This window comes from Homo sapiens, chromosome 2, assembly GCF_000001405.40.
Source record: "Homo sapiens chromosome 2, GRCh38.p14 Primary Assembly".
In the NCBI taxonomy this organism is placed as follows: domain Eukaryota; kingdom Metazoa; phylum Chordata; class Mammalia; order Primates; family Hominidae; genus Homo; species Homo sapiens.
The window spans coordinates 96,760,338-96,788,321 of NC_000002.12; the positions used below are offsets into that span (position 1 = coordinate 96,760,338).

The 27,984-nt window shown below is 49.3% G+C and overlaps 1 protein-coding gene across 7 annotated transcripts in view, besides 13 other annotated features; it reads left to right on the forward strand.

Moving 5' to 3' along the window:
• Positions 3-52: an enhancer, noted in NCBI's record as "active region_16224". NCBI's record gives its function as "activates an Ori minimal core promoter by ATAC-STARR-seq in GM12878 lymphoblastoid cells {active_cell/tissue: GM12878}" and the evidence as "EXISTENCE:reporter gene assay evidence [ECO:0000049][PMID:35858748]".
• Positions 383-802: a silencer, noted in NCBI's record as "silent region_11774". NCBI's record gives its function as "represses an Ori minimal core promoter by ATAC-STARR-seq in GM12878 lymphoblastoid cells {active_cell/tissue: GM12878}" and the evidence as "EXISTENCE:reporter gene assay evidence [ECO:0000049][PMID:35858748]".
• Positions 383-1,790: a biological region, named in NCBI's record as "H3K4me1 hESC enhancers GRCh37_chr2:97426686-97427275 and GRCh37_chr2:97427276-97427864".
• The window catches only part of CNNM4 (cyclin and CBS domain divalent metal cation transport mediator 4), a 50,973-nt gene continuing 23,553 nt past the window's right edge, over positions 565-27,984 (forward strand). For 6 of the 7 annotated variants that reach the window (XR_007071513.1, XM_047443911.1, XM_005263914.5 and 3 more), the window contains exon 1: positions 565-2,064. Coding sequence is in view for 6 of the 7 variants with exons in the window: in XM_047443911.1 (XP_047299867.1) it covers positions 663-2,064 (1,402 nt within the window). In the remaining variant the exon portion in view is untranslated. Of the gene's footprint in view, positions 2,065-12,898; positions 12,969-27,984 lie in introns of all 7 variants that reach the window. The other variant, XM_011510956.4, reaches the window with a different exon arrangement.
• Positions 612-1,201: an enhancer, noted in NCBI's record as "H3K4me1 hESC enhancer chr2:97426686-97427275 (GRCh37/hg19 assembly coordinates)". NCBI's record gives its function as "activates a minimal SCP1, AML or CMV promoter by ChIP-STARR-seq in naive and primed H9 embryonic stem cells {active_cell/tissue: H9 hESC(naive and primed)}" and the evidence as "EXISTENCE:reporter gene assay evidence [ECO:0000049][PMID:30033119]".
• Positions 926-1,109: a silencer, noted in NCBI's record as "fragment chr2:97427000-97427183 (GRCh37/hg19 assembly coordinates)". NCBI's record gives its function as "represses an EF-1alpha promoter that drives an FKBP-Casp9 reporter gene in an ReSE screen in K562 erythroleukemia cells {active_cell/tissue: K562}" and the evidence as "EXISTENCE:reporter gene assay evidence [ECO:0000049][PMID:32094911]".
• Positions 1,073-1,322: an enhancer, noted in NCBI's record as "active region_16225". NCBI's record gives its function as "activates an Ori minimal core promoter by ATAC-STARR-seq in GM12878 lymphoblastoid cells {active_cell/tissue: GM12878}" and the evidence as "EXISTENCE:reporter gene assay evidence [ECO:0000049][PMID:35858748]".
• Positions 1,202-1,790: an enhancer, noted in NCBI's record as "H3K4me1 hESC enhancer chr2:97427276-97427864 (GRCh37/hg19 assembly coordinates)". NCBI's record gives its function as "activates a minimal SCP1, AML or CMV promoter by ChIP-STARR-seq in naive H9 embryonic stem cells {active_cell/tissue: H9 hESC(naive)}" and the evidence as "EXISTENCE:reporter gene assay evidence [ECO:0000049][PMID:30033119]".
• Positions 3,481-3,530: a silencer, noted in NCBI's record as "silent region_11775". NCBI's record gives its function as "represses an Ori minimal core promoter by ATAC-STARR-seq in GM12878 lymphoblastoid cells {active_cell/tissue: GM12878}" and the evidence as "EXISTENCE:reporter gene assay evidence [ECO:0000049][PMID:35858748]".
• Positions 3,861-3,910: an enhancer, noted in NCBI's record as "active region_16226". NCBI's record gives its function as "activates an Ori minimal core promoter by ATAC-STARR-seq in GM12878 lymphoblastoid cells {active_cell/tissue: GM12878}" and the evidence as "EXISTENCE:reporter gene assay evidence [ECO:0000049][PMID:35858748]".
• Positions 4,231-4,330: an enhancer, noted in NCBI's record as "active region_16227". NCBI's record gives its function as "activates an Ori minimal core promoter by ATAC-STARR-seq in GM12878 lymphoblastoid cells {active_cell/tissue: GM12878}" and the evidence as "EXISTENCE:reporter gene assay evidence [ECO:0000049][PMID:35858748]".
• Positions 9,100-10,034: an enhancer, noted in NCBI's record as "H3K4me1 hESC enhancer chr2:97435174-97436108 (GRCh37/hg19 assembly coordinates)". NCBI's record gives its function as "activates a minimal SCP1, AML or CMV promoter by ChIP-STARR-seq in naive H9 embryonic stem cells {active_cell/tissue: H9 hESC(naive)}" and the evidence as "EXISTENCE:reporter gene assay evidence [ECO:0000049][PMID:30033119]".
• Positions 12,859-12,988: an enhancer, noted in NCBI's record as "active region_16228". NCBI's record gives its function as "activates an Ori minimal core promoter by ATAC-STARR-seq in GM12878 lymphoblastoid cells {active_cell/tissue: GM12878}" and the evidence as "EXISTENCE:reporter gene assay evidence [ECO:0000049][PMID:35858748]".
• Positions 13,709-13,768: an enhancer, noted in NCBI's record as "active region_16229". NCBI's record gives its function as "activates an Ori minimal core promoter by ATAC-STARR-seq in GM12878 lymphoblastoid cells {active_cell/tissue: GM12878}" and the evidence as "EXISTENCE:reporter gene assay evidence [ECO:0000049][PMID:35858748]".

The following is a 27,984-nucleotide window of genomic DNA, read 5'->3' on the forward strand; positions in this document are numbered from 1 at the left end:
CATCAGGCAGCCACTGGTTGATGGAAGCATCGTCGGGCTGGGGCTGGGGCTGGGGTAACCTACTTCTGGCCTTAGGACAAGGTCGGCAAAAATCTCAGCAGTGAGGAGGCCAGAAAAGTCTCCAAGGGGCAGGCTGCAATGCCAGCCTAAGCCCTCAGGTTTCCTTTTTCTTTTTCTACATCAGGAAAAGCACTTTTCTCGCCCTGCCTGCAGAGCGGGCCACCCCTAGCTGCAGGTGAGGGACGGGAGAGGAGCCTCCCACGTGCGGCCGTGCGAGGCCGAGGAACAGGAACGGCGTAGCTAGGAGACCAGGTCCCGGAGAAGGAGAGCTGGCCCCACTGGCAGAGAAAGGCGGGGAAGGGCGCGGAGGCGGAGCACTGGGCGGGTACCCGCTGGCGGCTCTCGCGCGGCGGCGCTGCTCCACCTTAAGCGACTGTACCCCCTTAAGGGCGGGCGCTCAAGCAGCGAGCCCCGGGGGCGGGGCCTCCAATGCAAATGAGGGGCGTGGGCAGGCGGGGCGGGGCGGGCGGGGCGCTGACCTGACGTCAGGCTCGCGGCCCGGGCAGTTGGCTCGGCGGCAGCGGAGCGGCCGGAGCTGCGGTGCGGACCGGGGCCGCGCGGCGTGGCGCGGGGAGCGGCGGCGGCGGCAGAGCCAGAGCAACATGGCGCCGGTGGGCGGGGGCGGGCGCCCGGTCGGCGGACCGGCCCGCGGGCGCCTCCTCCTGGCGGCGCCGGTGCTGCTGGTGCTGCTGTGGGCGCTGGGGGCCCGGGGCCAGGGCAGCCCCCAGCAGGGCACGATCGTGGGCATGAGGCTGGCGAGCTGCAACAAGTCGTGTGGGACGAACCCGGATGGCATCATCTTCGTGTCCGAGGGCAGCACCGTGAACCTGAGGCTGTACGGCTACAGCCTGGGCAACATCTCCAGCAACCTGATCTCCTTCACCGAGGTGGACGATGCCGAGACCCTCCACAAGTCCACCAGCTGCCTCGAGCTCACCAAGGACCTGGTCGTCCAGCAGCTGGTCAACGTGAGCCGCGGGAACACGTCCGGCGTGCTGGTGGTGCTCACCAAGTTCCTCCGGAGGAGCGAGAGCATGAAGCTGTATGCACTGTGCACCCGGGCCCAGCCCGACGGGCCCTGGCTGAAGTGGACGGACAAGGACTCACTGCTCTTCATGGTGGAGGAGCCTGGGAGGTTCCTGCCTCTCTGGCTGCACATTCTCCTAATTACGGTGCTGCTGGTGCTGTCGGGCATATTTTCTGGCCTCAACCTCGGGCTTATGGCCCTGGACCCCATGGAGCTGCGCATCGTGCAGAACTGTGGCACCGAGAAGGAGAGGCGCTATGCCCGCAAGATTGAGCCCATCCGGCGCAAGGGCAACTACCTTCTCTGCTCGTTGCTCCTAGGGAACGTGCTGGTCAACACCTCCCTCACAATCCTTCTAGACAACCTCATCGGGTCCGGCCTCATGGCGGTGGCCTCCTCCACCATTGGCATTGTCATCTTTGGGGAGATCCTACCTCAGGCCCTGTGCTCCCGACATGGGCTGGCTGTGGGTGCCAACACCATCCTTCTCACCAAATTCTTTATGCTACTCACCTTCCCCCTCAGTTTTCCCATTAGCAAGCTCCTGGACTTTTTTCTGGGCCAGGAGATTCGCACTGTTTACAACCGGGAGAAGCTGATGGAGATGTTGAAGGTGACGGAGCCCTATAATGACCTCGTGAAAGAGGAGCTCAATATGATCCAGGGTGCCCTGGAACTACGGACCAAAACTGTAGAGGATATCATGACCCAGCTCCAGGACTGCTTCATGATCCGCAGCGATGCCATCCTGGACTTCAACACCATGTCGGAGATAATGGAAAGCGGCTATACTCGCATCCCGGTGTTCGAAGACGAGCAGTCCAATATTGTAGATATTCTCTACGTCAAAGACTTGGCCTTTGTGGACCCCGATGACTGCACCCCCCTCAAGACTATCACTCGCTTCTATAACCACCCGGTGCACTTTGTCTTCCATGACACCAAGTTGGATGCCATGCTGGAGGAGTTCAAGAAGGGTAAGGCCAGATGTAGTTCCCCTGGTTCAATTTCCTCTTGACGCCTCTTTTCCCCTGGCGTGTTTTGTGTCTGCTGGCTTTAGTGTTCTGTTTGTGTGACTCTGTGTCCCTTTGCCTATCGCTTCCTATGCTTCTGAGGTGAACGATTTTGGAGCGGTAGACCCATTCTCAAGTGTCTGCCGTCTGCCAGGTAGTGTGCTGTGTGCTCCTGATGAATCAAAGCTGAATAAGACATACTCGCTCCCTTGGAGGGCTGGAGCAAGACCTCAGGGAGCTATTGAAGCAAGACAGAGTAAGACAGATGCCTGAAAAGAGGCCAGGGCGATGGAGATTTAGAGTATGGGGTGGAGTCAGGAAGGGGCTGGGAAATTGGGGAATCCACAGGGGAAGGAGCATTTGAGGAGAATCTTAAAAGGTAGAGAGGCTTGCTGCTTGAGGCAGAGGGAACCCCGCAAGCAGAGAACCGGAGTGGAGAAGCAAAAGTGTGCTTGTGGCCCAGCAGGTGGTCCTGTTTGGTGGGTATAGTGGCTCTGATGCTTAGTGGTCAATGGCTGGAGTAGTTTGGGGCCCGGTGGTGGACGCTAAGTTTGCTCCCAGCTTGGGAGCTACAGGTTTTTGAGCAGGGGAGTCATGTTACTGGAGGTGCTAGCCCACAGAAGCAGAATTGGGAGGTCTCTAATTGGCTCGCTTCTCAGAACAATGCCAAGTAGCGCTTTCGACTATTCAGCAGAAGCAAGCAGATTAAGTTTTGGTAATTGTGGCGCCAGCGTAAGCTTCCCTCCAGTGGTCTGCTGGAAATCTTCAGCTGCCTTGCACTGCCTTGTGTTTTTTTCTCACCTGGGTTCTTGGCCATTTCGCAGGTAGTTAGAGAGGCATTTGGAGGGTTTACTCATCAGCCTCAAAGCTCAAGGCACACACTCCTTTTCTTCCAGCAAAATTTTCCTCCCATCTCTGCCATTCAGAAACCCTCAAAGTGGCAGTAAACAAGCCAATTATGGAGTGGAACCCTCCCAGGCTGAAGGAAGTGAGGAGGCAGAAAGGGAAGCTCTTTTTTAAAGGAATGGGGGTGAGGGGCTCATCCTAAACTTGGGGACTTTGCTTTCTAAACATGCTCCCAGCCTTCATTCCCATAGGAGAGCTCCTACTGGCTGAGGCTGCTCAGGCCGACCTAGGGCTTGGAGGGACTTCGGAATCCTAGCAGGGAGTGAGCTGGCAGGTGTTTCTGTAACGGAGAGTGGAGGACAGCTTTGGAGTGGGATAGGGAGGAGCTGGCTTTGCCAGGTTTGGTCTGAAAAGATGCTGGGGTCAGGGCCAGGGTGGTGGGTTGGTACCCTCCTAAGTTCAACAGACTGAATCTTAGTATCGGAGCTGAGGACCACTTGAGTAAAGTAAGCCAGAGTCTGGGAGAGCCCCAGGGAAGGTGGCCTCCCTGCAGAGACTGGAGAGACAGACCCCTAGTGGTGAAGGCAGAGGCTGCGGTGGGGTGGGGGTGGGGGCGGCTTTGGGAGTGCAGACCCAGGAATCAGGTTTTCCCAGGTACCCGAGCCTGGGACAGAAAAGCAGTGAGGATCTGTGCCCCACCCCCACCCTAAGCCTTGGGACCTGAAGACTTCTCCTATTGCTTAGTTGGGAACCTGATTAGGACCCTCCAGGGCAACTTCCTCCTCACTGCCTCTGTGGTGTTTGGGACTATGGTTTGTGACACACCCAGTAGCACCTTCCCATCAGTTCATTTGGAATCTGGATCCAACCAGTATGGATTGGTCTGACCAGTCTCCCAGTCTTGATCAGCAGGGCTGAGCTCTCTTGGGTTGGAGCCTCCTGGGTCTTGAGAGGGCTGTCTTTGGGCTCTGTCTTGTCAAGTGCCCTTTCATTAAGTTGGGAAAACAGAGCTAGCATCTCTTAGGCCGTAGCAGAGCTCTGCTGAGCCAGAGTCCCCAGGTTCAGTTTACTCCGGGAAACTCTGCTTAACAGAGGCCAGTAGCCTGAGGCCAAGCCCTGGAGCAGTGCTGGTAAACCCAGGGAACTGCACACAGGCTGCCCAGCACAGCAGGCCGCCCTGGAGATGGTGATAGTCCCCCCTCTCTACCCACCCCCGACAAATGAACAGGCCCTGCGGCTTTATGCCATCACTTACTTCCCCATTCTCAGAGGTCTTGGAAAACCAGTTTTAACTCATTGCACACCGGGTTCCCTGCAGCGTGGCCTCTTCCAGACCTTCCAATCTGGCGTCCACCTTCTTAGTCTGAGATTACCCAGGACACAGCACACACCTAGTGTACATCTGCAATTTAAGAGTTTCTTGGCCAGGCGCGGTGGCTCATGCCTGTAATCCCAGCACTTTGGGAGGGCGAGGCGGACAGATCACGAGGTCAGGAGATTGAGACCATCCTGGCTAACATGGTGAAACCCCGTCTCTACTAAAAATACAAAAAATTATCCAGCCGTGGTGGCACATGCCTGTAGCCCCAGCTAGTCAGGAGGCTGAGGCAGGAGAATCGCTTGAACCCGGGAGGCAGAGGTTGCAGTGAGCCCAGATCGCACCACTGCACTCCAGCTTGGGCGACTGAGCAAGACTCTGTTTCAAAAAAAAAAGAGTTTAGGAGTCTGGTGTTGGGAATGGTTTTTTTTTTTTTTTTTTTTTTTTTTTTTTTTTTTTTTTTTTGCTAAGAGAAACAAGTGAGCAAAGTTAGAACAGCTGGCATTGTTTTATTTGTTTGTTTGTTGTTGTTTTTTTTTTTTGAGACGGAGTTTTGCTCTTGTTGTCCAGGCTGGAGTGTAATGGCACAATCTCGGCTCGCTGCAACCTCTACCTCCCGGGTTAAAGCGATTCTTCTGCCTCAGCCTCCTGAGTAGCTGGGGTTACGGGCATGTGCCACCACCCCTGGCTAATTTTGTTTATTTAGTAGAGACGGGGTTTCGCCATGTTGGTCAGGCTGGTCTTGAACTCCCGACCTCAGGTGATCCACCCGCCTTGGCCTCCCAAAGTGCTGGGATTACCGGTGTGAGCCACCCTGCCCAGCCTTTCAGCTGGCATTGTTAACAGCACCAGAGTCAGAGCTGGGGCAACTGTCTAGCCCAGCATCTCTCTCTGAGGGTCTGTCCTGGACCCTCCTCCACCCCAGGTTGGGTGAGGGTCCTGAGCCTAGCTTTGCCAGAGTCCTTCTGCCCCACAAGTAATCCTCTTTTAGGGCCTTTGTATTCTTTCTTTCCCCTTTCCAGCATTATAAGCTCCTTGAGGGTAGAGGCCATGCCTTCTTAGTGTTTTCACCACTCAGTGCTTGGTAAAGAGACGGGTCTCCAGTAAGTGTTGGACAAATGAATGAACAATGGATGACTCTCTGGCAAGCCCCACTGGCCTTTTTGCTGTTCTTTTTTTCTTTCTTTCTTTCTTTCTTTTTTTTTTTTTTGAGACGGAGTTTCGCTCTCATTGCCCCGGCTGGAGTGCAATGGCACCATCTCGGCTCACTGCAACCTCCACCTCCGATTCTCCTGTCTCAGCCTCCCGAGTAGCTGGGATTACAGGCGCCCGCCACCACGCCCGGCTATTTTTTGTATTTTTAGTAGAGATGGGGTTTCACCATGTTGGCCAGGCTGGTTGCGAACTCCTGACCTCAGGTGATCCACCCACCTCAGCCTCCCAAAGTGCTGGGATTACAGGTGTGAGCCACCACACCTGGCCTTTTTTTTTTTCTTTTCTTTTTTTTTTTTTTGAGACAGAGTTTCACTCTGGCATGATCTCGGCTCACTGCAACCTCCACCTCCCAGGTTCAAGCTATTCTTGTGCCTCAGCCTCCCAAGTAACAGGGATTACAGGTGCATGCTACCACATCTGGCTGATTTTTGTATTTTTAGTAGAGATGGGGTTTCACCATGTTAGCTAGGCTAGTCTTGAACTCCTGACCTCAAGCGATCTGCCCACCTCGGCCTCCCAAAGTGCTGGGATTACAGGTGTGAGCCACCGTGCCTGGCCCTTTTTGCTGTTCTTAAACACACCAGGATGCTCCCACCATGGGGCCTTTGCCCTGGTTGTTTCCTTGGGCTGGAATATTCTTCTCCAGAAGTCAGCATGGCTCACTGTCTTCCCAGGTCACCTCTCAGTGGGGCCTTCTTGCCACCTTGTTTAAAACTGCACCCACCATCCCACCCCAACTTCCTAATCTCCCCTGCCCTGTGCCGATTTCTTCTCTTCTCGTAGCACACATTGCTCTCTAGCATCTATGTAATTTGCTGATTTACTGTGTTGTCTACTGTCTGTCTCCTCCCACTGGCATATAAGTTTCAAAGGGCAGGTCTCTTTGTTTTGCTCATCAATGTATCTCTAGCCCCTAGAATGGCTCTTGGCACATAGTAAGGCCTCCATCCATGGCACTGAGTGAGTAAGTGAGTGAATGAATACCTGTCTGTTTTGGCAGAGGATCATTCCCATTTTAATAGTGTTAGAATTCTGAGGAGCTGATGAGTGCAAAGAAAAATGGGTGTTGTGCACTTACCGGGTTCAGAGTTCCAGCCACACAGGACAGACAGGAGGAGTGCCTGGGATGACATGTCAGGGACTGAGAAGTAGAGTTTGGGGCCTTGAGTGTGATGCATGGTTCCTCTCCATGTGCCTCAGTTTCCCCACCAGTAAGTGGTCTTTGGCCACTGGGGGTTTACACAGCTTCCCTCATTAGATGAGTCATGAATGTGCTCCTACACACTTAGAGACGGGCTAGGGGCATCGATGCAGAGGTAGGGGCCGAGTGTCCCTAGGAGTAAGGCAGGGGTACAGCCTTGCAGCACTTCTGTCTCCCAGCTCACGGCAGTTAGTGCCAGATATCTGTGGAACCCCATGCTGCGTGCAAGACGTGATGCTAGGTGATGCAGGACCACAGGAGTAAGATCATCGAGTTGGTGAGACAAGCCCTCAGGCCTGAGAGTCTCCTGTGATTTGAACCTTGGCCCTTCCGCTTAAACCTCGCCTGGAACTGTTTGCAGTACTGGGTGTTGTGGGTGGGTTTGTCCACCTTGGAATCTCAGAACAAAGCCACCTCCAGCTCCTCCTGCCCCAGTTTGTGTTTTGCCTTCACCACTCTCCCAGACCCTGAAGCTAAGTAATGAAGGAAGAGGGCAGAGCTCTGCACCCCCCTTGCAGCCCACCTTCCAGCTTCTAGCTGTGCCTCACCCTCTGGGACACTCCTTCCCTCCCAGGTACTTAGCTCATCTTTAAACACCTTATCTTTCCCCACCCACCTTATAACCACCTAGACCCTGTATAGACCTGGGTGTAACTCCAGCCAGCCTGGTCACTGACCTGTGAGGTGGCCTTGGACCTGTTACTCCTCCTCTCAGCAAGGTAGTGCAGTATAAATTGGTGGGGAAAAGCTAGAAATATTTTCATTAAAAAAATCCTCCTGGCTGTGGCTCACGCCTGTAATCCTAGCACTTTGGGAGCTCTTTGGGTGGGTCACTTGAGGCTAGGAGTTCGAGACCAGCCTGGCCAACATGGCAAAACCCCATCTTTACTAAAAAAATGCAAAAATTAGCTGGGTATGATGGCACATGCCTATAATCCCAGCTACTGGGGTGGCTGAGGCAGGAGAATCGCTTGAACGGAGGTTGCAGTGAGCTGAGATTGCACCACTGCACTCCAGCCTGGGCGATAGAGCAAGACTCTGTCTCAAAAAACAAAACAAAACGAAACAACAACAACAACAAAACACCCATATTTTCATCTAGGCTGTGTCAGATTTTCCCACTGACTTAATTTTATTCCCGCAACAACTTTATGAAGTTGAGAAAAAACACTGCATGATTTTTGCATTCACTTTTGGTTCCTCTTATCTGACACACCTTAAGTAACTTATCCTCCACACCCCACCCTCCCATCCGCACCTGCTTATTCATCCATTTGTTCAACCAACAGTGACCGTTTTGAAGCCTCTGTGTCAGACACTGTGCAGGCTGTTGGGAATCAGAGATGAATAAAACTGCCCTGTTCACAGAACTCACAGTCTACCAAGGAGAGAGACACGTGAACAACGCCTAGCTGCACAGAGCTCACAGATAGGGTGCCGTGGGGCTGAGGGAGGGCAGGCCTGTGAGATGCTTCTGAAGTGAGAGTAACTAGACTCGTTGATCCTTGTGGAGATCTGGGAGTCAGGGCCCGGAAGTAGTTGTGAAAGTCTGAGGTTTCTAGCTTGGGATTCAGGTTGATTATGTCATTTAACTGCAATCGGGAAAGGGGGACGAAGAGACAGTTTAGTGAGGGCAGAGGGAGGTAAGTGGTGGTCATAATAATGGTGTGACCCGTTGCTGAGCTCCTTCTCCGTGCCCAGCATTGTTTACACTGGAGCTTCTCACACTCGACTGCCTGGACATTTTGTTGAAATGCAGACTTGAACTCAGTGGGTCTGGGTGTGGCCCGAGAGTCTGCATTTCTGACAGGTTCTCAGATGATGCCCATGCTGCTGGCCCTGGACCACACCAGTGTGCAGTAACATCTAGGCAGGCATGCAGGGGAAAATGCCCACGTGAGGCTGAGGAGCAAGGCCAGGACAACGCTAAAAGGTTTAAGAGTCAGCCAAGAGGCCGGGTGCGGTGGCTTACGCCTGTAATCCCAGCACTTTGGGAGGCCGAGGCGGGCGGATCATGAGGTCAGGAGATCGAGACCATCCTGGCTAACACGGTAAAACCCTGTCTCTACTAAAAATACAAAAAATTAGCTGGGTGTGGTGGTGGGCGCCTGTAGTCCCAGCTACTCGGGAGGCTGAGGCAGGAGAATGGTGTGAACCCGGGAGGTGGAGCTTGCAGTGAGCCGAGATCGCGCCACTGCACTCCAGCCTGGGCAACAGAGCGAGACTCCGTCTCAATAAAAAAGGAGTCGGCCAAGAGCAGGCAGAATGGAGAGCTGCTGGGCACAGTGGCTTTGTAATCCCAGCACTTTGGGAGGCTGAGGCAGGTGGATCACCTGAGGTCAGGAGTTCAAGACCAGCCTGACCAACATGGTGAAACCCCGTCTCTACTAAAAATACAAAAATTAGGCGTGGTGGTGGGTGCCTGTAATCCCAGCTACTGCGGAGGCTGAGGCAGGAGAATAGCTTGAATCGGGAGGCGGAGGTTGCAGTGAGCCGAGATCGCGCCATTGCACTCCAGCCTGGGTGACAGAGTGAGACTCTGTCTCAAAAAAAAAAAAAAAAAGAATGTGTGAGAGAGGAAAGGACAGTGCAGGGGGTGTCAGTGTGTAAAAGCCAGGCTGAGGCGACTCCTTGATGGAGACGAAGAGAACCAAGGGGGCACGCTATTCGGGAGCCTCCTTGGAGGGTCAGATGGGGTGAAGACCATGCACAGACTGTGGGATGGGACCTTAGGCTGTGGGGTGCCCAGCGAGAGCAGCCTCGGACAAGTGGTGCCCGAAGGCAGCTTTGCACCGGTTCTCCGTCAGCCCTGCCTGGTAATAGCCTCAATATGGTGATTTGATCTCAAGAAGCTGCCTGGGGGCAGGTGTATCTGAGAGTGACAGGAGCTGGTTAATACTCCGGGTGCAGGCAGAGGTCCCAGCAGGGACAGCTGACAGAGCTGTGGCCAGGCTCCTTCTCACTTTCCCTTTAGTGCAGTGCTGTGGGAAGGGAACATGAGCACGTGGAGGGGCCTGGTGCGTGCCAGCCAGTGGGCAGCTGCACCTCCTTCCTGGCTGGCCCCATGCAGCCTATGGGCGGGTTCCCAAAGAGGAGCCAGCACTGAGAGGACACTCACGTGTCTTCACTTGACAGTTCTCTTCTCAGAGCTCTTGTTTGTGCAATGGAAGGCAATGCTGTGCATCGAGGCCCTGATAGGTTCTTAGTTATTCTGGTGTTTACTTTTCAAAGGTCTCGTATTTTTAACTAGGAAATCCCGCTCCAGTGTTTTTCTGCTCACCTCTGGTCAGGACGGGAAGCACCGAGCAGATGTTTAACCTTGAAAATGGGTGAATACACAGGAGCACAACATCAGGGAATGGCCCTACAGGATCAGCAGGGGGCCCTTGGGAAGGGGAGGCCTGTCTCGTAAGTAAAAGTCTGGGAAGACATTTCAGCGGAATTTGCTAGGGCGGGTAGACATGGCGTTTTCCACTCTGGTACGTGTTGCCCTGGGAGAGCTTGGACAAGACCCGAAGGCTGAGAGGTGAGCCTCACCGTCCTTCGCAGCAGCTTTGGGGGTGTGGCTCAGGCCTCCCGGGCTGCTTCCCCTCCTTTTCTAGACGGACTTGGCGGTGCGGATCCCTGGGTGCCTTCTCTCTGCACCCCTCCCACATGAACCTGGTTGACTGAACAGCAAGGACATCTTTGAGGGGAAGGAAGCCTGGCCCCTCTGAAGGAGTCGCTACTACAGGCCTCCAGTCTCCTTGAGGGCAGGGGCCAGCATGGTTGTCCTGCACTGAGCGCTGGCTCCTGAAAGGCCGCGCAGCCATGGAGAGTGTGTATGGAAAGGCAGCCTGGGCCAGGCCTCTGTCGCTGCCTTGGTGACTGATTTTCGCAGAGCCTCCTGGTTCCTTCTCCCCAGCCCGTGGGGGATGGACAGGCTGTCTCAAAGCCTTCCTGTGGTCTTAGGGATTCTTGGAACTCCTTAGCAGAACTGACTCTGAGATGTGTGAAGGTGCTAGAATTTCCAGAGGTACCCGGCTGGCCCTCGGCTGAGGGGGTGGGAAGCAGCTGTCTGGCCGGTAGCTGCCATTTGCTCCAACCTGCTGCACTACAGCTCTCAGCCCCTGTGTCTGCTGCCACGCCTGCCCTGCGCCTCGCTTACCCCTCTCCTCTCACCAGAATGTACTGTCGTGGAGAGGGTCAGAAGCTCCATAAAGGGCCCCTGGCTTATGTCGTAGGCTAGAGCCTGGACTCCTTACTTCTGTGCTTATTCCACTGTTAGATGATTTTCTTTTTTTTTTTTTTTATTTTGTTATTAGTGTTTATTATTTTTCCGTAGCCATAAAAGAGATACATCTCATTGCTGGAACTTGTCTCTATTAAAAACAAAACAAAACAAAAACCTTATAACAAACAGCATGGCTGGATGCAGTGGTTCACACCTATAATCCCAGTACTTTGGGAGGCCGAGGCGGGTGGATCACCTGAGGTCAGGAGTTCAAGACCAGCCTGGCCAACATGGTGAAACCCTGTCTCTACTTTTTAGACAAATACAAAAAATTTTAGCCGGTCGTGGTGGTGCATGCCTGTAATCCCAACTACTTGGGAGGCTGAGGCAGGAGAATTGCTTGAACCCGGTAGGTGGAGGTTACAGTGAGCCAAGATCGTGCCACTGCACTCCAGCCTGGGCGACAGAGCCACACTCCATCTCAAAAAAAAAAAAAAGAAAGAAAAAAGAAAGAAATCCTTGCTTTTTGGAACACAGTTTAGATGGGTTCTTCAGATTCCCTGCTGATAAGAAATTAAATCCTTATCCCCATCATCCTTTCGGAGTCTCTCAGAGAATCTGCACCAGGACAAGGGCTGGGCAGTGCTGTGCGCCTCTGCGGGAAGGTGAGCCCAGAGGCTGGGTGTACAGCTGCTAGTTTGTTTTGCTGGGGGTTAAACTTGGTGTTGCTGGAGCATTCCCCAGAGGTTACGATCAGAATTGCTTCCATGCTGCAGGGCTGATTTACTGTGAAGGGGTAGGGTTGTTGCAGGACTGGTTTCCCAGGCTCTCTGGAACGCCTGGTCTCTGGCCAGGAGGCAGCCTGGAGCCTCAGTGCAAGGAGGATCCCTCCCCTACCCCAGGTAGGGCCACTCCCACACATGTGCACACCCACACTCATACCCCACATAGGCACAGGCAGGCTTACTCCCACCTATGCTCACACACACACTCATACCCCCACAAAGGCACAGGCAGGCGCTTACACACCCCATGCGCGCACACACACTCATACCCCCACATAGGCACAGGCAGGCTCTACTCCCACCCGTGCGCACACACACTCATACCCCTCACATAGGCACAGGCAGGTGCTCACACACACGTGCGCACACACACTCATGCCCCCCACGTAGGCACAGGCAGGCGCTCACACACACATGCGCACACACACTCATACCCCCACATAGGCACAGGCAGGCTCGCTCTCACCCATGCACGCACACACACACTCATACCCCCCACAAAGGCACAGGCAGGCACTCACACACACATGCGTGCACACACATACACACTCATACCCCCACATAGGTACAGGCAGGCGCTCACTCACACATGCGCACACACACTCATACCCCCACATAGGCACAGGCAGGCGCTCACACACACATGCGTGCACACACACACACACACTCATACCCCCACATAGGCACAGGCAGGCGCTCACACACACATGCGTGCACACACACACACACACTCATACCCCCACATAGGCACAGGCAGGCGCTCACACACACATGCGCACACACACACACACTCATACCCGCACATAGGCACAGGCAGGCTCACTCCCACCCATGCTCACACACCCACACTCATACTCCCCACAAAGGCACAGGCAGGCTCGCTCTCACCCATGCACGCACACACACACTCATACCCCCCACAAAGGCACAGGCAGGTGCTCTCACACACTTGCACACACACACACTCCTACCTCCCAGATGCACAGGCAGGGCCACTCACACATGTTCACACCCACCTGCTAACCCCCCATGTGCACACACAGGCTCGCAAACGCCCACATTTATGCATACATGGACTGTCACCAGGAGTCCTGCCTTAAACCGAAACCTATTTCTCATGAAACTTTCCCAAGAGTTAGAAGTCAGTTTCAAAAATTAGTAAATGCTTGTACAGTGTGATTTATTTCATGAAATGCTCAAAATAGTGACTTTCTCTTCAGCTGCTAGTGATCTGGTCATCCACATTGAAGACTGTGTCCCCCTCAGACCTCATGGTGAGGACTAAGTGAGGTAAGGCGTGCAAGGTGCCGAGCCCTGTGCCCGGCACTGCGTAATCATGCTGTAAATATTAGTTATTTTTAAAATTATTATTGCTATTATCCAAAGGTGCCCCAGTTGACACTGATGCCAACCTGTGGCCACAGCAGTTCTCATACACTGTCTCCGTTGGCAGGCTGCCCTGCTGTTCAGGGTGGTGTCATTTTTGGAATTATAAATACACTGACACCTACCATGTACCCACAAAAATTTAAAATTAAATGAAATGGCAAGGCGCGGTGGCTCATGGCTGTAATCCCAGCACTTTGGGAGGTCGAGGTGGACAGACCACCTGAGGTCAGGAGTTTGAGACCAGCCTGGCCAACATGGTGAAATGCTGTCTCTACTAAAAGTACAAAAATTAGCTGGATGCGGTGGCGTGTGCCTGTAGTCCCACCTACTCAGGAGGCTAAGACTGGAGAATTGCTTGAACCCAGGAGGTGGAGGTTGCAGTGAGCCAAGATCATGCCACTGCACTCCAGCCTGGGTGACAGAGTAAGACTCCATCTAAAAAAAAAAAAAAAAAAGTTAATTAAATATAGAAAGCTTATTAAAAATAAATAAATAAATAAACTGAGCTCAAAAGAACCCTCTATATAATTATATGCTAATTCAGATGCCATCTTATCTGAACCCCAGTGTATATAGTCAGGGTAACAGAAGGCAGAGCTCAAGGGAGAAAAATGAAAGTGAAAGAGGAAATTCACCTCATTTACTTAGTTTTCCCCCCTTCCAAATTGGGGAGAGTTAAACCCACCGTCCTGACCGCCAGCGCATCCATGTTCCGACTGCAGGAGCGTCATGTGAGGGCTGCCCTGTGGGAGGGGGCAGGGGAAGGAAGGAGCACAGCTCTATTTGCCAGTCACGTGTTTTCATTTCAGCTTCACTGGTCCTCTGCTGCCTCCCAGGTGTCTCAGGGAGGGAGGGAAGAGGCCACCAGGTGAGTCTCTGTTCCCTTGGAGCCCCATCTTGCCTCCGCAACAAAGATCTTTGGTCACTTGGAGGCCAGGAGTTTGAGGTTACATGAGCTATGATTGCACCACTGCGCTTCAGCCTGGGTGGCAGAGCGAGACCCTGTGTTTAAAAATTTTTTTTAAATTAAAAAGTTAAAAAAAAAGAACGAACAGGGGAAATGCCTGTGCCTGTGTTAGTGGTTAACATTTATGAAATAATTATTTAATCCTCCAAGTGCTGTAGATGGGAAACTGAGGCTTAGAGAGGCCAACAGTCTTTCCCAGTCACATGACAGCTAAGTGGCAACCTCAGGCTGTGTGGCCCTAGCAGCCATGCTCTGAAGCACTATGCAGTGTCTCCTTGCAGTGAGATTGTAGCTGTTAAGAAAGAGAGCAGGCTGGGTGCAGTGGCTCACGCCTGTAATCCCAGCACTTTGAGAGGCCAGGGCGAGTGGATCACCTGAGGTTAGGAGTTCGAGACCAGCCTGACCAACATGGCAAAACCACATCTCTACTAAAAATACAAAAATTAGCTGGGTGTGATGTGTGCCTGTACTCCCAGCTACTTGGGAGGCTGAGGCAGGAGATTCGCTTGAACCCAGGAGGTGGAAGTTGCAGTGAGCAGAGATCATGCCACTGCACTCTAGCCTGGGAGACAGAGTGAGACTCCATCTCAAAAAAAAAAAAAAAAAAAAAAAAAAAAAAAAAAAAAAGCCAGAAGATTGGGAGATTCCAGTAAGTTCAGGCTAAAAAATGCTAAAAAATGTACTGTCAGTTTTAGATTTTTTTTAGGTAAACTTTTTGTTGATGCATAATATAGAGAAAAGTGCATAAATCATAAGGGTACAGCCTGATAGCTTTTCACAAAACAAACACCCCTAACTGCCACTGAGCTCCAGTAATAACACATTATCCACACCCTGGAAGCCCACCCCTGACCCCATGCACCCTCCCAGTCCCTGCCCTGCTCCCTCAGTCATTGTGGGTCAAAGTTTTTCTGTTTATAAACTTTTGTAAGTGAATCATATCATATATACACACTTTTGTGTCTGGCTTCTGCTGAATGTTAAGGGTCTGAGCTTCATCCATGCTGTGTGTAGCTGTCATTCATTCCTTTTGGTTGCTGTCATAATATTCCCTTATATAACCAGTAATATTGTTGATGGACATTGCATTGTTTGCAGTTTGGGACTATTACAAATGATGCTGCTAAGAACACTCTTGTGCATGTCTCTTGCTGAACGTATGAAGGCATTTCTGTTAGGAATATGCCCGGGAACGGAATTGCTAAGGCACAGGGATGGTAGAGATGAGAGTTTTACAAAGTGCTTGTATCAGTGTTCACTCCTATCCCTACCAACTCTGGTATTGTTAAGTATGTGTATGTGTGTTTAATGTTTGCCATTAAGGTGTGTGCATGGTTGTGTCTCACTGTGTTTTGTTTTTGTTTTGTTTTTGTTTTTGTTTTGTCTCTCTGTCATCCAGGCTGGAGTATAGTAGCATGATCACAGCTCACTGCAGCCCCCACCTCCCAGGCTCAAGCAGTCCTCCCACCTCAGCCTCCCAAGTAGCTGGGACCACAGGTGTGGGCCACCACGCCTGGCTAATTTTTAAATTTGTATAGAGAATGTGGTCTTGCATTGTTGTCCAGGCTGGTCTCGAACTCCTGGCCTCAAACCATCTTCCCTCCTCGGCCTCCTAAAGTGCTGGGATTACAGGCCAGAGCCACTGTGCCATTGTGGTTTTTTTTTTTTTTTTTTTGAGGTGGAGTCTCGCTCTGTTGCCCAGGCTGGAGTGCAGTGGCGTGATCTCAGCTCACCACAACCTCCACCTCCCGGGTTCAAGTGATTCCTCCGCCTCAGCCTCCCAAGTAGCTGGGACCACAGGCCGCACACCACCACGCCTGGCTAATTTTTTATATTTTAGTAGAGACGGGCTTTCACCGTGTTGATCAGGATGGTCTCGATCTCCTGACCTCATGATCCACCTGCCTCGGCCTCCGAAAGTGCTGGGATTACAGGCGTGAGCCACTGCACCCGGCCGCCATTGTGTTTTTTTTTAATTTACTTTTATTGATACATAATAGCTATTTTCACAGTACATGTGATAATTTGATAGATTCATGTAATCAAATCAGGGTAATTGGGATATTCATCACCTTGAATAGTTATGTGTTCTTTATGCTTGGAACATTTGAATTATTCTCTCCTAGTTATTTTGAAATGTAAAATTGACTAATGTTAACCATTATCACCTACTGATCTATGGAGCACCAGGTCTTATTTCTTCTAAGTGTATATTTGTACCCATTAATAAACCTCTTTTCATCCCCCTCATTGTGGTTTTGAGATGGAGTCTCGCTCTCTCGCCCAGCCTGGAGTGCGGTGATGCATCTCGGCTCACTGCAACCTCTGCCTCATGGGTTTAAGCAATTCTCCTGCCTTAGCCTCCTGAGTAGCTGGGATTACAGGCATGAGCCACCATACCAGGCTAATTTTTTTGTATTTTTAGTAGAGATGGGGTTTCACCATATTGGCCAGGCTGGTCTCCAACTCCTGACCTTGTGATCCCCTTGCCTTGGCCTCCCAAAGTGCTGGGATTACAGGCGTGAGCCACTGCGCCCCACCTCATTGTGGTTTTAATTTAGATTTCCCTAGTGAATTATGATATTGAGCACATTTTTATATGCTTATTGTCCATTTGACTATTCTTTTTATTTGTGTCTTAACTGTTTTCTTTTTTTTTTGTTTTTGAGACGGAGTCTCACTCTTGTTGCCCCGGCTGGAGTGTAATGGCGCAATCTCAGCTCACTGCAACCCCCGCCTCCTGGGTTCAGGCAATTCTCCTGCCTCAGCCTCCCGAGTAGCTGGGACTACAGGAGCGCGCCACCACACCCAGCTAATGTTTGTATTTTTAGTAGAAACAGGGTTTCACCACGTTGGCCAGGATGGTCTCAATCTCTTGATCTTGTGATCTGCCCGCCTCGGCCTCCCAAAGTGCTGGGATTACAGGCGTGAGCCACTGCGCCCGGCCTGTTGCCTGTTTTCTAGGAGGTTTGCCTTGCCTTTTTATTTCTTTTTTGAGATACAGTCTCTCTGTCACGTAGGCTGGATGCAGTGATGCAATCATGGCTCACTATAGCTTCAACTTCCCAGGCTCAAGCAATATATTCCACTTTACAACCTCCTGAGTAGCTGGGACCACAGCTGTGCGCCACCACACCTGGCTACTTTGAGACAGAGTCTTGCTTTATTGCTCAGTCTGGAGTGTAGTGGCACGATCTTGGCTCACTGCAACCTCCACCTCCTGGGTTCAAGTGATTCTCCTGCCTTAGCCTCCTGAGTAGCTAGGATTACAAGCGTGTGCCACCACACCCGGCTAATTTTTTATATTTTTGGTAGAGATGGGGTTTCACTGTGTTGGCCAGGCTGGTCTTGAACTCCTGACCTCAGGTGATTCACCTGCCTTGGCCTCCCAAAGTGCTGGGATTACAGGAGTGAGCCACCACGCCTGGCCAACTTTGTGTATTTTTTGTAGAGAGAGGGTTTTCCCTGTGTTGCCTTGGCTGGTCTTGAACTCTCTGCCTTTTTTTTTTTTCTGAAACAGGATCTTGCTTTGTCACCCAGGCTGGAGCACAGTAGTGCGATCTTGGCTCACTGAAGCCTCGACTTCCTGGGCTCAAGAAATCCTCCCACCTCAGCCCGCCAAGTAGCTGGGATCACAGGCACATGCTACCATGACTGGCTAATTTTTGTATATTTTGTAGAGGTGGGGTTTCACCATGTTGCCCAGGCTGGTCTTGAACTCTTGAACTCAAGTGATCTGCCCACCTTGCCCTCCCAAAGTGCTGGGATTACAGGTGTGAGCCACCGTGCCTTACCCTCTCTGCCTTTTTCTTAACCATGTTTAGGAGTTATTTATATATTATTTATTCTATATATTCTTTATATAGTTATGTATATCTGGACCCTTTAAAAATTTATTCCTAGGGGCCAGGTGCAGTGGCTCACGCCTGTAATCCCAGCACTTTTGGAGGCCGAGGCAGGCAGATCACAAGGTCAGGAGTTCAAGACCAGCCTGGCCAAGATGGTGAAACCTTGTCTCTACTAAAAATACAAAAAAATTAGCTGGGCATGGTGGCGGGCACCTGTAATCCCAGCTACTCCGGAGTCTGAGACAGAGAATTGCTTGAACCCGGGAGGTGGAGGTTGCAGTGAGTCGAGATGGCACCACTGCACTCCAGCCTGGGCGACAGAGCAAGACTCTGTCTCAAAAAAAAAAAAAAAATTATTTCTATGTATCTTTTTTTTGTAGCTATTGTAAGCAGGATTGCCTTAAAAATTTTTTTTTATATGAGGGTCTCACTATGTTGCCCAGGCTGGTCTTGAACTCCTGGGCTCAAGTAATCCTCCTGCCTCAGCCTCCTCAGTAGCTGGGACTATAGGTGCATGCCACTTGTCCCAGTTAATTTTTATGAACCCTTTATCAGACATATGTATTGCAAATACATTCTCCCACTCTGCGGATTTTAGCCTTTACATAGCTTTTTTATTTTAAGCATTTAATTGACAAAAACCATATATATTTGTGGTGTACAACAAGCTAATTAATATGTATGTGACCTTATCTACTGTCTAAGTCTGGTTTGTGAGACTGGGTGATTTATTTATTTTATTTATTTATTTTTTTGAGATGGAGTCTCGCTCTGTTGCCCAGGCTGGAGTGCAGTGGCGCGATTTTGGCTCACTGCAAGCTCTGCCTCCTGGCTTCACGCCATTCTCCTGCCTCAGCCTCTTGAGTAGATGGGACTATAGGCGCCTGCCACCATGCCCGGCTAATTTTTTGCATTTTTTCAGTAGAGACGGGGTTTCACCGTGTTAGCCAGGATGGTCTCGATCTCCTGAGCTCGTGATCCGCCCGCCTCGGCCTCCCAAAATGCTGGGATTACAGGCGTGAGCCACCGCGCCTGGCCAATATTCTTTCTTTAAAAGCTGTATGGAATCACTTGAACTCAGGAATTTGAGACTAGCCTGGGCAACATGGTGAAACCCTGTCTCTACCAAAAATACAAAAATTAGCTGGGCGTGGTGGCATGCACCTTTGATCCCAGCTACTTGGGAGGCTGAGGTGGGAGGGTTGTTTGAGCCTGGGAGGCAGAAGTTGCAGTGAGCTAAGATTGTGCCACTGCCCTCCAGCCTGGGTGACAGAGCAAGACCTCGTCTCAAAAAAAAAAAAAAAAAAAAAATCCATATGATACCCAGGACTTTGTATTGAGAAGATCCCTTTTCTCACTGGACTGTGGTGCACATGTGGGTCTCTCTGGACTCTTAGATTTAATTGATCTGTTTCTTTTTCTTTGCTCCAGTAACCATGTTGGCATAATTGCAGTAACTTTATAAGTTTTGATATCTGGTAATGTTAAGCCTTTTGTTCTTCAAGATTGTCTTAGCTATTCTTAGCTTTTTACCTGGGAATTTTATGGAATTGCACTGAATCTACAGATCAACTCAAAGACTTGACATTTTTTTTTTTTTTTTAGACGGAGTCTCACTTTGTCTCCAGGCCGGAGTGCAGTGGTGTGATCTCGGCTCACTGCAACCTCCGCCTCCTGGGTTCAAGCAATTCTCCTGCCTCAGCCTCCTGAGTAGCTGGGGCTACAGGCACGTGCCACCACACCCAGCTAATTTTTGTATTTTAGTAGAGACGGGGTTTCACCATGTTGGCTGGGATGGTCTCGATCTCTTGACCTTGTAATCTGCCCGTCTTGGCCTCCCAAAGTGCTGGGGTTACAGGCAGGAGCCACCGCGCCTGGCCAGACTTGACATTTTATAGTAGTGAATCTTCCAATCTGTGAACACGATGACCTTTTCATTTGTGTCCTCTTAGTTTCTTTCAAAAATATTTTTGTGTGGAAATCTTACACATCTTTTCTTGAGTATATTCCTAGTTATTTGGTGATCATAAATGAGGGCTCTAAAATTTGATTTTCCAAAGTTTGTTATAGGTTGTTCCATCTCCACCCCAGCTGGGGTGTACTGTAGTTTAGTTCTGGCGCCAGCTGCCTGGAGTTAGCATCACTGGATTCCACAGGTTTAAGGTTTCTGCCCTCCCCAAGACTGCCCACTTGCTCTCCCTTTTTTTTTTTTTTTTTCTTTTTTAGAGACGGGCTTCACCGTGTTGTCCAGGCTGGTCTCAAACTCCTGACTTCAAGTGATCCTCCCGCCTTGGCCTCCCAAATTGCTGGGATTACAGGCGTGAGCCACCATGTCCGGCCTCACTTGTGCACTGCTAACCAACAGACTCTGTGTATGGGGGTTCTCATGACCTCAGGTTCAGTAATTCATTAGAACAACTCACAGAACTCAGGACAGTGCTACACTTAGGATTACAGGTTTTTGTTTTGTTTGTTTTGTTTTTTTAAGAGACAGGTTTTTTTGTTTGTTTTTATTTGTTTGTTTGTTTGTTTTTTTGAGATGGAGTCTCCCTCTATTGCCCAGGCTGGAGTCCAGTGGCACGATCTTGGCTCGCTGCAACCTCTGCCTCCTGGGTTCAAGCAATTCTTCTGCCTCAGCCTCCCCAAGTAGCTGGGACTACAGGCGCGTACCACCACACCCAGCTAATTTTTTTTTTTTTGTATTTTTAGTAGAAATGAGGTTTCGCCATGTTGGCCAGGCTGATCTCGAACTCTTTTTTTTTTTTTTTTTTTTTTTTGAGATGGAGTCTCACTGTGTTGCCCAGGCTGGAATGCAGTGGCACAATCTCGGCTCACTGCAAGCTCCGCCTCCCGGGTTCACGCCATTCTCCTGCCTCAGCCTCCCGAGTAGCTGGGACTACAGGCACCCGCCACAATGCCCAGCTAATTTTTTGTGTTTTTTAGTAGAGACGGGGTTTCACTGTGTTAGCCAAGATGGTCTCGCTCTCCTGACCTCGTGATCCACCTGCCTCAGCCTCCCAAAGTGCTGGGATTACAGGCGTGAGCCACCGTGCCCGGCCTGATCTCGAACTCTTGACCTCAGGTGATCCACCTGCCTCAGCCTCCTGAAGTGCTGGGATTACAGACTTGAGCCACCATGCCCAGCCAAGAGACAGAGTCTTGTTCTGTTGCCCAGGCTAGAGCGCAGTGGCACAATCATAGCTCACTGCAGCCTCAAACTCCTGGGCTTAAGTGATCCTCTACCTTGGCCTCCCAAAATGCTGAGATCACAGGCTTGAGCCACCATGCCCGCACCTGATTATAGTTTTATTTTGAGGGATACACATAGGATGAGGCTTTGTCGGTCCTAGAGGAGCTTCATGCCCTCTGCCTGTGGTGTCAGGGCACTCTGTCTAGATATGTTAATGTATTCACCAACCAGGAAGCTCAGTGAGCTTTGGGGTCCAGAGTTTTTATCCAGACCTCATTACATGTTTGATTTAAGTCATTCACCACAGGATTGAACCCAATCTCTAGACCCCTCCCTTCCCTGGAGGAAGGACAATTCAAAGCCCAACTGGGTAATCACCTGCTTAGTCTTCACCATGTTGCCCAGGCTGTTCTGGAACTCCTGGGAAGGCTTTCAAAGTTGATCATTTTGTATGATTTTGGTAGGGTTTTTTGTAGATTTCCTTTACCAGATCAAGGAAATTCCCTTCTCCCCTTAGTTTGCTAAGAATTTTTATGATGAATAGGTGTTGAATTTTGCCAAATGCTCTTTTTGTATCTGTTGAGATGATTGAATAACCTATTTTCTTTATTCTGAAATACACTGATTGATTTTTTAATGCTAATCCCAAATTTATTGTATAACCGGAGTAGAACTAACTTAGTGTCATTATTCTATTTACACACCACTGTATTTGATTTGCCAATATCTTTATTTAGGATTTTGGCATCGGCCAGGCGTGGTGGCTCATGCCTGTAATCCCAGCACTTTGGGAGGCTGAGACGAATGGATTGCTTGAGCCCAGAAGACCCTGTCTTTACTGAAAATAAAAAAATTAGCTGAGTGTGGTGGCATGAGCCTGTAGTCCCAGCTACTTGGGAGGCTGAGGTGGGAGGATCATTTGAGCCTGACAGGCAGAGGTTGCCGTGAGCTGAGATTGCACCATTGCACTCTAGCCTGGGCGACAGAGTGAGACATTGTCTCAAAAAAAAAAAAAAAAGAATTTTGGCATTTATGCTCATGAGACAGATGAGACTATAATTGTTTTCCCGCTGTTAAACTGAAGAAAGATACCATATCATTTTTTTTTCTTTAATGGCAGGAAAAATAATTGTTTGATAGTGAGCAAGTAATATTCTTGTCCTCTTCCTCCCCTTCTGTTCCTACACCTAACAACCAGTATCAGCCTCTGGCATCACCTCAACTGTTGCTATAGTTTTCCTCTCTGTTTGACATCAATGATTCCTTGGAATGATTTTAGTAGTTTGTAAACATTTGGAAACAGTATATGATGACCAGGAACCAACTGGGGTTTACTAAGGGGAAAAAAAGCTAATTTTCATTTCTTTTGTGTATGTTGGGGAGGGTAGGATTACTAGGTTAGTGCAATGGAAAGCTAGTCCCAGAATAGATGTATTTCAGCAAAGTATTTAACAGAATTTCGGTTAAGTCTTTAGGATCAACATGGGACCTGTGGGCTCTTTAATAGTGGTCCACGCTGGGAATGGGGGCTCACACGTGTAATCCTACCACTTTGGGAGGTCAATGCGGGAGGATCTCTTGGGGTCAGGAGTTCAAGACCAGCCTGGTCAACATGTGAGACTCTGTCTCTATTTTAAAAATTATAAATAAAAAAAAATTAATGGTCTCACTTTTAGGTTGATTTGCCTGTGGATTATTAGCTGGTTGCCAAAAAGGTTCAAAGAATGGAGCCTCACAAGGCCATGAGTGAGCTGTGCCTCTCTGTAAGCAATTGAGCAAAGGTACAGCGGGGAAGGGGTTCCCTGCCACCTCTGGTAGGGGATGCTGGGGCAGGGGCGAGATGGCTGTGAGCCATGCTTCCAGCTCTGCAGTTCCAGGAGAAAATGCCAGAGGTGCTTCTGAGAATACGGACTGGGTGGAAAGGAAGAAGCAGTTTGCTGGAAGGGTCTGAACTCAGAAGGACGCTGATGGTGCTGGTAGGACTGCTGGGACCCCCTGCACCTCCTGGCCACGGAGAGATCCTGCTCCCAGGGACCAGCGTCTGGGTGGGACACAGTTCACTCCTCTCTCCACTTCATGTTCTTTTTCTTCAGCAGATGGCTCAAGTTCCTTGTTTTTCTCCTTGCTTTCTGACAGCCGTAGCTTCTGAAACCTGCCATTTTTGGTCTCCTGATGCCTGATTTCCTAATTGTCCTGACTGTGTCTTCTAGGAAGCATTAAGTCTGAACTGACTTATTAGGGAACTTCAGAAAGTTAAACACACAAAACCCTTTCTTTGACTCCTATCTTAAGGACATGGAGATACAGTTACATATATTTATACACAAGGATATTCATATGGCAAAAACGGGGAGAAGGCACAATTTAAGAGCCCAATGGGGACTGGGATTGTGTATGCATCTGTACAATGACATGTTATGAAGTCATTCTGTTTTTTATAAAACTTTTTAGTGACATGGGAAAATACAAAGAATGTAAAGAATTTAAAAAGCAGCGTACAAAACAATATATGTGATCCAATTTGTGGTGGAAATATTTTATCTATATATATCCATTTTAAAACACCAAAGAAAATACACAGTTAACAGTAGTTATCTTTGGAAGGCAGGATTATAAGTGATCTTAGTTTTCTTCCTTCCACTTTTGTTACCGATATCAGAAAAAAACTCTGTCTCTACGAAAATAAAATAAAATGAAATAAAATAAAATTAGCTGGGTGCAGTGGCTCATGCCTGTTGCCTCAGCTCCTCAGGAGGCTGAGGCGGGAGAATCACTTGAGCCCAGCAGGTCGAGGCTGCAGTGAGCTAGGATCGTGCCACTGCACTCTAGCCTGGGTGGCAGCAAGACCTTGTCTCAAAAAAAAAGAAAAAAAAAGTCCTTATCTTTTAGAGATACATATTGAAATACTAAATATTTTCAGGTAAAATGTATACATGTTTACAGATAAAACCTGGGCTTTGCTTCAAAATCAGTGAGTAGAGCAAGTGGGAGTAGCGAGGAAGAAAGGCTGGTCATGAGGAGCTGTTAATTGTTAGGTGAGGGTGTAATTAGATTATTATCTCTACTTTTGTAGATGCTTGATATTTTCCATAGTAAAAGCTTAAAAATCTAGAGACTACTAGCTAAATGGAAAATCAGAGGCATAAAGACCTGTCCCCAGGGTGAGGGGCCAGTCTTAGAGTCCCCATCATCAGTTTGTCAATAGCTTCACCCACTATGGGCTTGTATTAAAGGAAGAAGGCTATCTGTAGCAGAAGTCCCATTTCTGTATCCCAGCCTGATCACCCCTTGGGGTGTGACCCTGGGCATGACTTCTCTGGGCCTTAGCTTCCTCCTAGGAAGAGTGGGATTGACAGTAGATGTAGGGCAACTCTCTCCTGGGAACATGGTCACCCAGACAGGTTGGTGGCAGGGGGAGGTTGACCATGTCCTGTGCGAAGAGGCAACTGAGGCATAGCTATCTTTATGGGGCTATTTTTTCTTTTTGAGATAGAGTCTGGCTCTGTCACCCAGGCTGGAGTGCAGTGTTGCAGTCTTGGCTCACTGCAACCTCTGCCTCCCGGGTTCAAGCGATTCTCATGCCTCAGCCTCCTGAGCAGCTGAGATTATAGGTGGGCACCACCACGCCCAGCTAATTTGTGTGTTTTTAGTAGAGATAGGATTTCATCATGTTGGCCAGGCTGGTCTCAGACTTCTGACCTCAGATGATCCTCCTGCCTCAGCCTCCCAACGTGCTGGGATTACAGGCATGAGCCACTGTGCCCAGCATTTACGGGGTATTCTAAAGGGAGCTCTTCAAGCTTTTCATCTTGCCCCTATTTTAAAACCTTTTTTTTTCTTTTTAGTTTGTGCCTCCATTCAATCAAAAATTATGTACATGTGCTGTTATACTAGTACATGTATTATAGAATGAACACAGAAAAAATTTAAAGAAGTAAAACCGAAGTCCAGGTGCAGTGGCTCATACCTGTAATCTTAGCACTTTGGGAGGCTGAGGCAGGAGGATTCCTGTAGCCCCAGAGTTTGAGACCAACCTGGGCAACATGGCGAAACCCCATCTCTACAAAAAATACGAAAGTTGGCCAGGCATGATGGCCTGTAATCCAGGCTACTTGGGAGGCTGAGGTGGGAGGATCAGTGGAGTCCAGGAGGCCGAGGCTACAGTGAGCTGTGATCGTGTCACTCTGCACTCCAGCCTGGGCCACAGAATGAGACCTTTGTCTCAAAAAAGAAAACATAAAAAAATTAGCTGGGCGTGGTAGCATGTGCCGGTAGTCCCAGCTATTCTGGAGGCTGAGGTGGGAGGATTATTTGAGCCCAGGAACTCTAGGCTGCAGTGAGCTATGATTGTACCACTGTTGTCCAGCCTGGGCAACAGAGAGAGACCCTGTCTCTAAAAAAAGATAAAAATGCCAGGCGCAGTGGCTCACGCACTTTGGGAGGCTGAAGCGGTGGATCACGAGGTCAGGAGATCCAGACCATCCTAGCTAACATGGTGAAACCCCATCTCTACTAAAAATACAAAAAATTAGCCGGGCATGGTGGCGGGCGCCTATAGTCTCAGCTACTCAGGAGGCTGAGGCAGGAGAATGGTGTGAACCCAGGAGGTGGAGCTTGCAATGAGCTGAGATCACGCCACTGCACTCCAGCCTGGGCAACAGAGTGAGACTCTGTCTCAAATAAAGAAAAAAAAAAGATAAAAATAATTTTTAAAAAGTAAAGATAGGCCTGGCGCGGCAGCTCACGTCTGTAATCCCAGCACTTTGGGAAGCTGAGGTGGGTGGATCACCTGAGGTAGGGAGTTTGAAACCAGCGTGGCCAACATGGCGAAACCCCGTCTCTACTAAAAACACAAAAATTAGCCAGGAATGGTGGCATGCTCCTGTAATCCCAGCTACTCGAGATGAGGCAGGAGAATTGCTTGAACCTGGGAGGCAGAGGCTGCAGTGAGCCAAGATCGTGCTATTGCACTCCAGCCTGGGTGGCAGAGCAAGACTCTGTCTCAAAAAAAAAAAAAAAGTTCTTAAAAAGTAGTGTATTAGAGAAACTTAGAAAAGTGGAAAATGATTAAGAAATGAAAGTCACATGGCCAGGTACGGTGGCTCATGCCTGTAATCCCAGCACTTTGGGAGGCCCAGGTGGGCAGATCACTTGAGGTCAGGAGTTCCAGACCAACCTGGCCAACATGGTGAAACCCCGTCTACTAAAAAATACAAAAAATTAGCTCAGCGTGGTGGCAGGCACCTGTAATCCCAGCTATTTGGGAGGCCGAGGCATGAGAATGGCTTGAACTTGGGAAGCGGAGGTTGCAGTGAGCTGGGATCGCACCACTGCACTCCATCCTGGGTAACAGAGCAAGACTCTGTCTCAAAAAAAAAAAAAAAAAAAAAAAAAAGTCACTCTTATCCCATCATCCAAAATGTGGATATTTTGGTGTATTTTCTTCTACCAAGTCAGCAACAAATGATATTGCTTCTCCCCCAATATGAAAATAGTGTCTAATTAGAAGAGTAAAAATAAAAAATAGCATGTGAAGTATAAAATGCATTAAGCAAAAGTGAAGGAAACCAGCAGTCCTTCCTACTCTACTGTTTTGGAACTTTTTACTTTACACAAATAGTGAATCACCGTCTCTTGAGATAAATTCATGTCTGAGTCAGCCTTTTTAAGAGCCCTGCAATATTGTTACAAATAACATTGGCAGGCCCTCCTGGGCACACCTTGCATGCTGGCCTGGGTGTTTCCTTTGTATTAAGGTCACTTCCTAGGGTTGGGAGAAATGGCAGAGTCCAAGGTCTTGCATATTTTACATTTTGGCACATACTGCCAAATTTCTGAAGTAAAAATTGAACTTCCAACGGTGGGTAGTTCTCCTGCCAACACTGAGAGTACCAATCTCTGAAATCTTGACTAATATGATAGGTAAAAAATGAGTTCATTTTGAAAATTTGTATTTCCTTATATTTTGTTTGTATTTATTGTATTTCTATTTAAAATTAAGCTAGTGGTTTTTCTTAGGGATTTATAAGTCTGGTATAAAACAGTGACTTTGGACCAGTTAGCCCAGTAACTTTCATTGAATAATCTCTCTTTTCTCCTGCAATTTAATATACCAGATTTATTATATACAGTATTCCCAATTTGTTGGAGTTTATTTCTGTCCATAAGCCAGGCATGGTGACTCACGCCTACAGTCCCAGCATTTGGGGAGGCCATGGTGGGAGGATCGCTTGAGCCCAGGAGTTCGAGATCAGCCTGGGCAGCATAGTGAAACCTCATCTCTACAAAATTTTTTTTAAAAATTAGCTGAGCTTAGTGGCATGCCCTATAGTCCCAGCTACTTGGGAGGCTGAGGTAGGAGGTTCACTTGAGCCCAGGAAGTCAAAGTTGCAGTGAGCTGTGATTGTGCCACTGTACTGCAGCCTGGGTGACAGAATGAGACCCTGTCTAAAAAAAATTGAAGTAAAATAAATATTTCTGTCCATTGTTCTCTCCAGTACCGCACTGTTTTTGTTTTGTTTGCTTGTTTTTGAGACAGAGTCTCGCTGTGTTGCCCAGGCTGGAGTGCAGTAGTGCAATCTCAACTCACTACAACTTTAGCCTCCCAGGTTCAAGTGATTCTCCTGCCTCAGCCTGCTGAGTAGCTGGGATTACAGGCCTGTGCCACCATGCCTAACTGATTTTTGTATTTTTAGTAGAGATGGGGCTTCACCATGTTGGCCAGGCTGGTCTTGAACTCCTGACCTCAAGTGATCCGCCCATTTTGGCCTCCCAAAGTGCTGGGATTACAGGCATGAGCCACAGTGCCCTGCCCAGTACTACACTGTTTTAATCGCTGTAATCTTTTTTTTTTTTTTTTTCTGGAGACAGGGTCTCACTCTGTCTCAGAGTCTAGCGAGTATAGAGTGTATG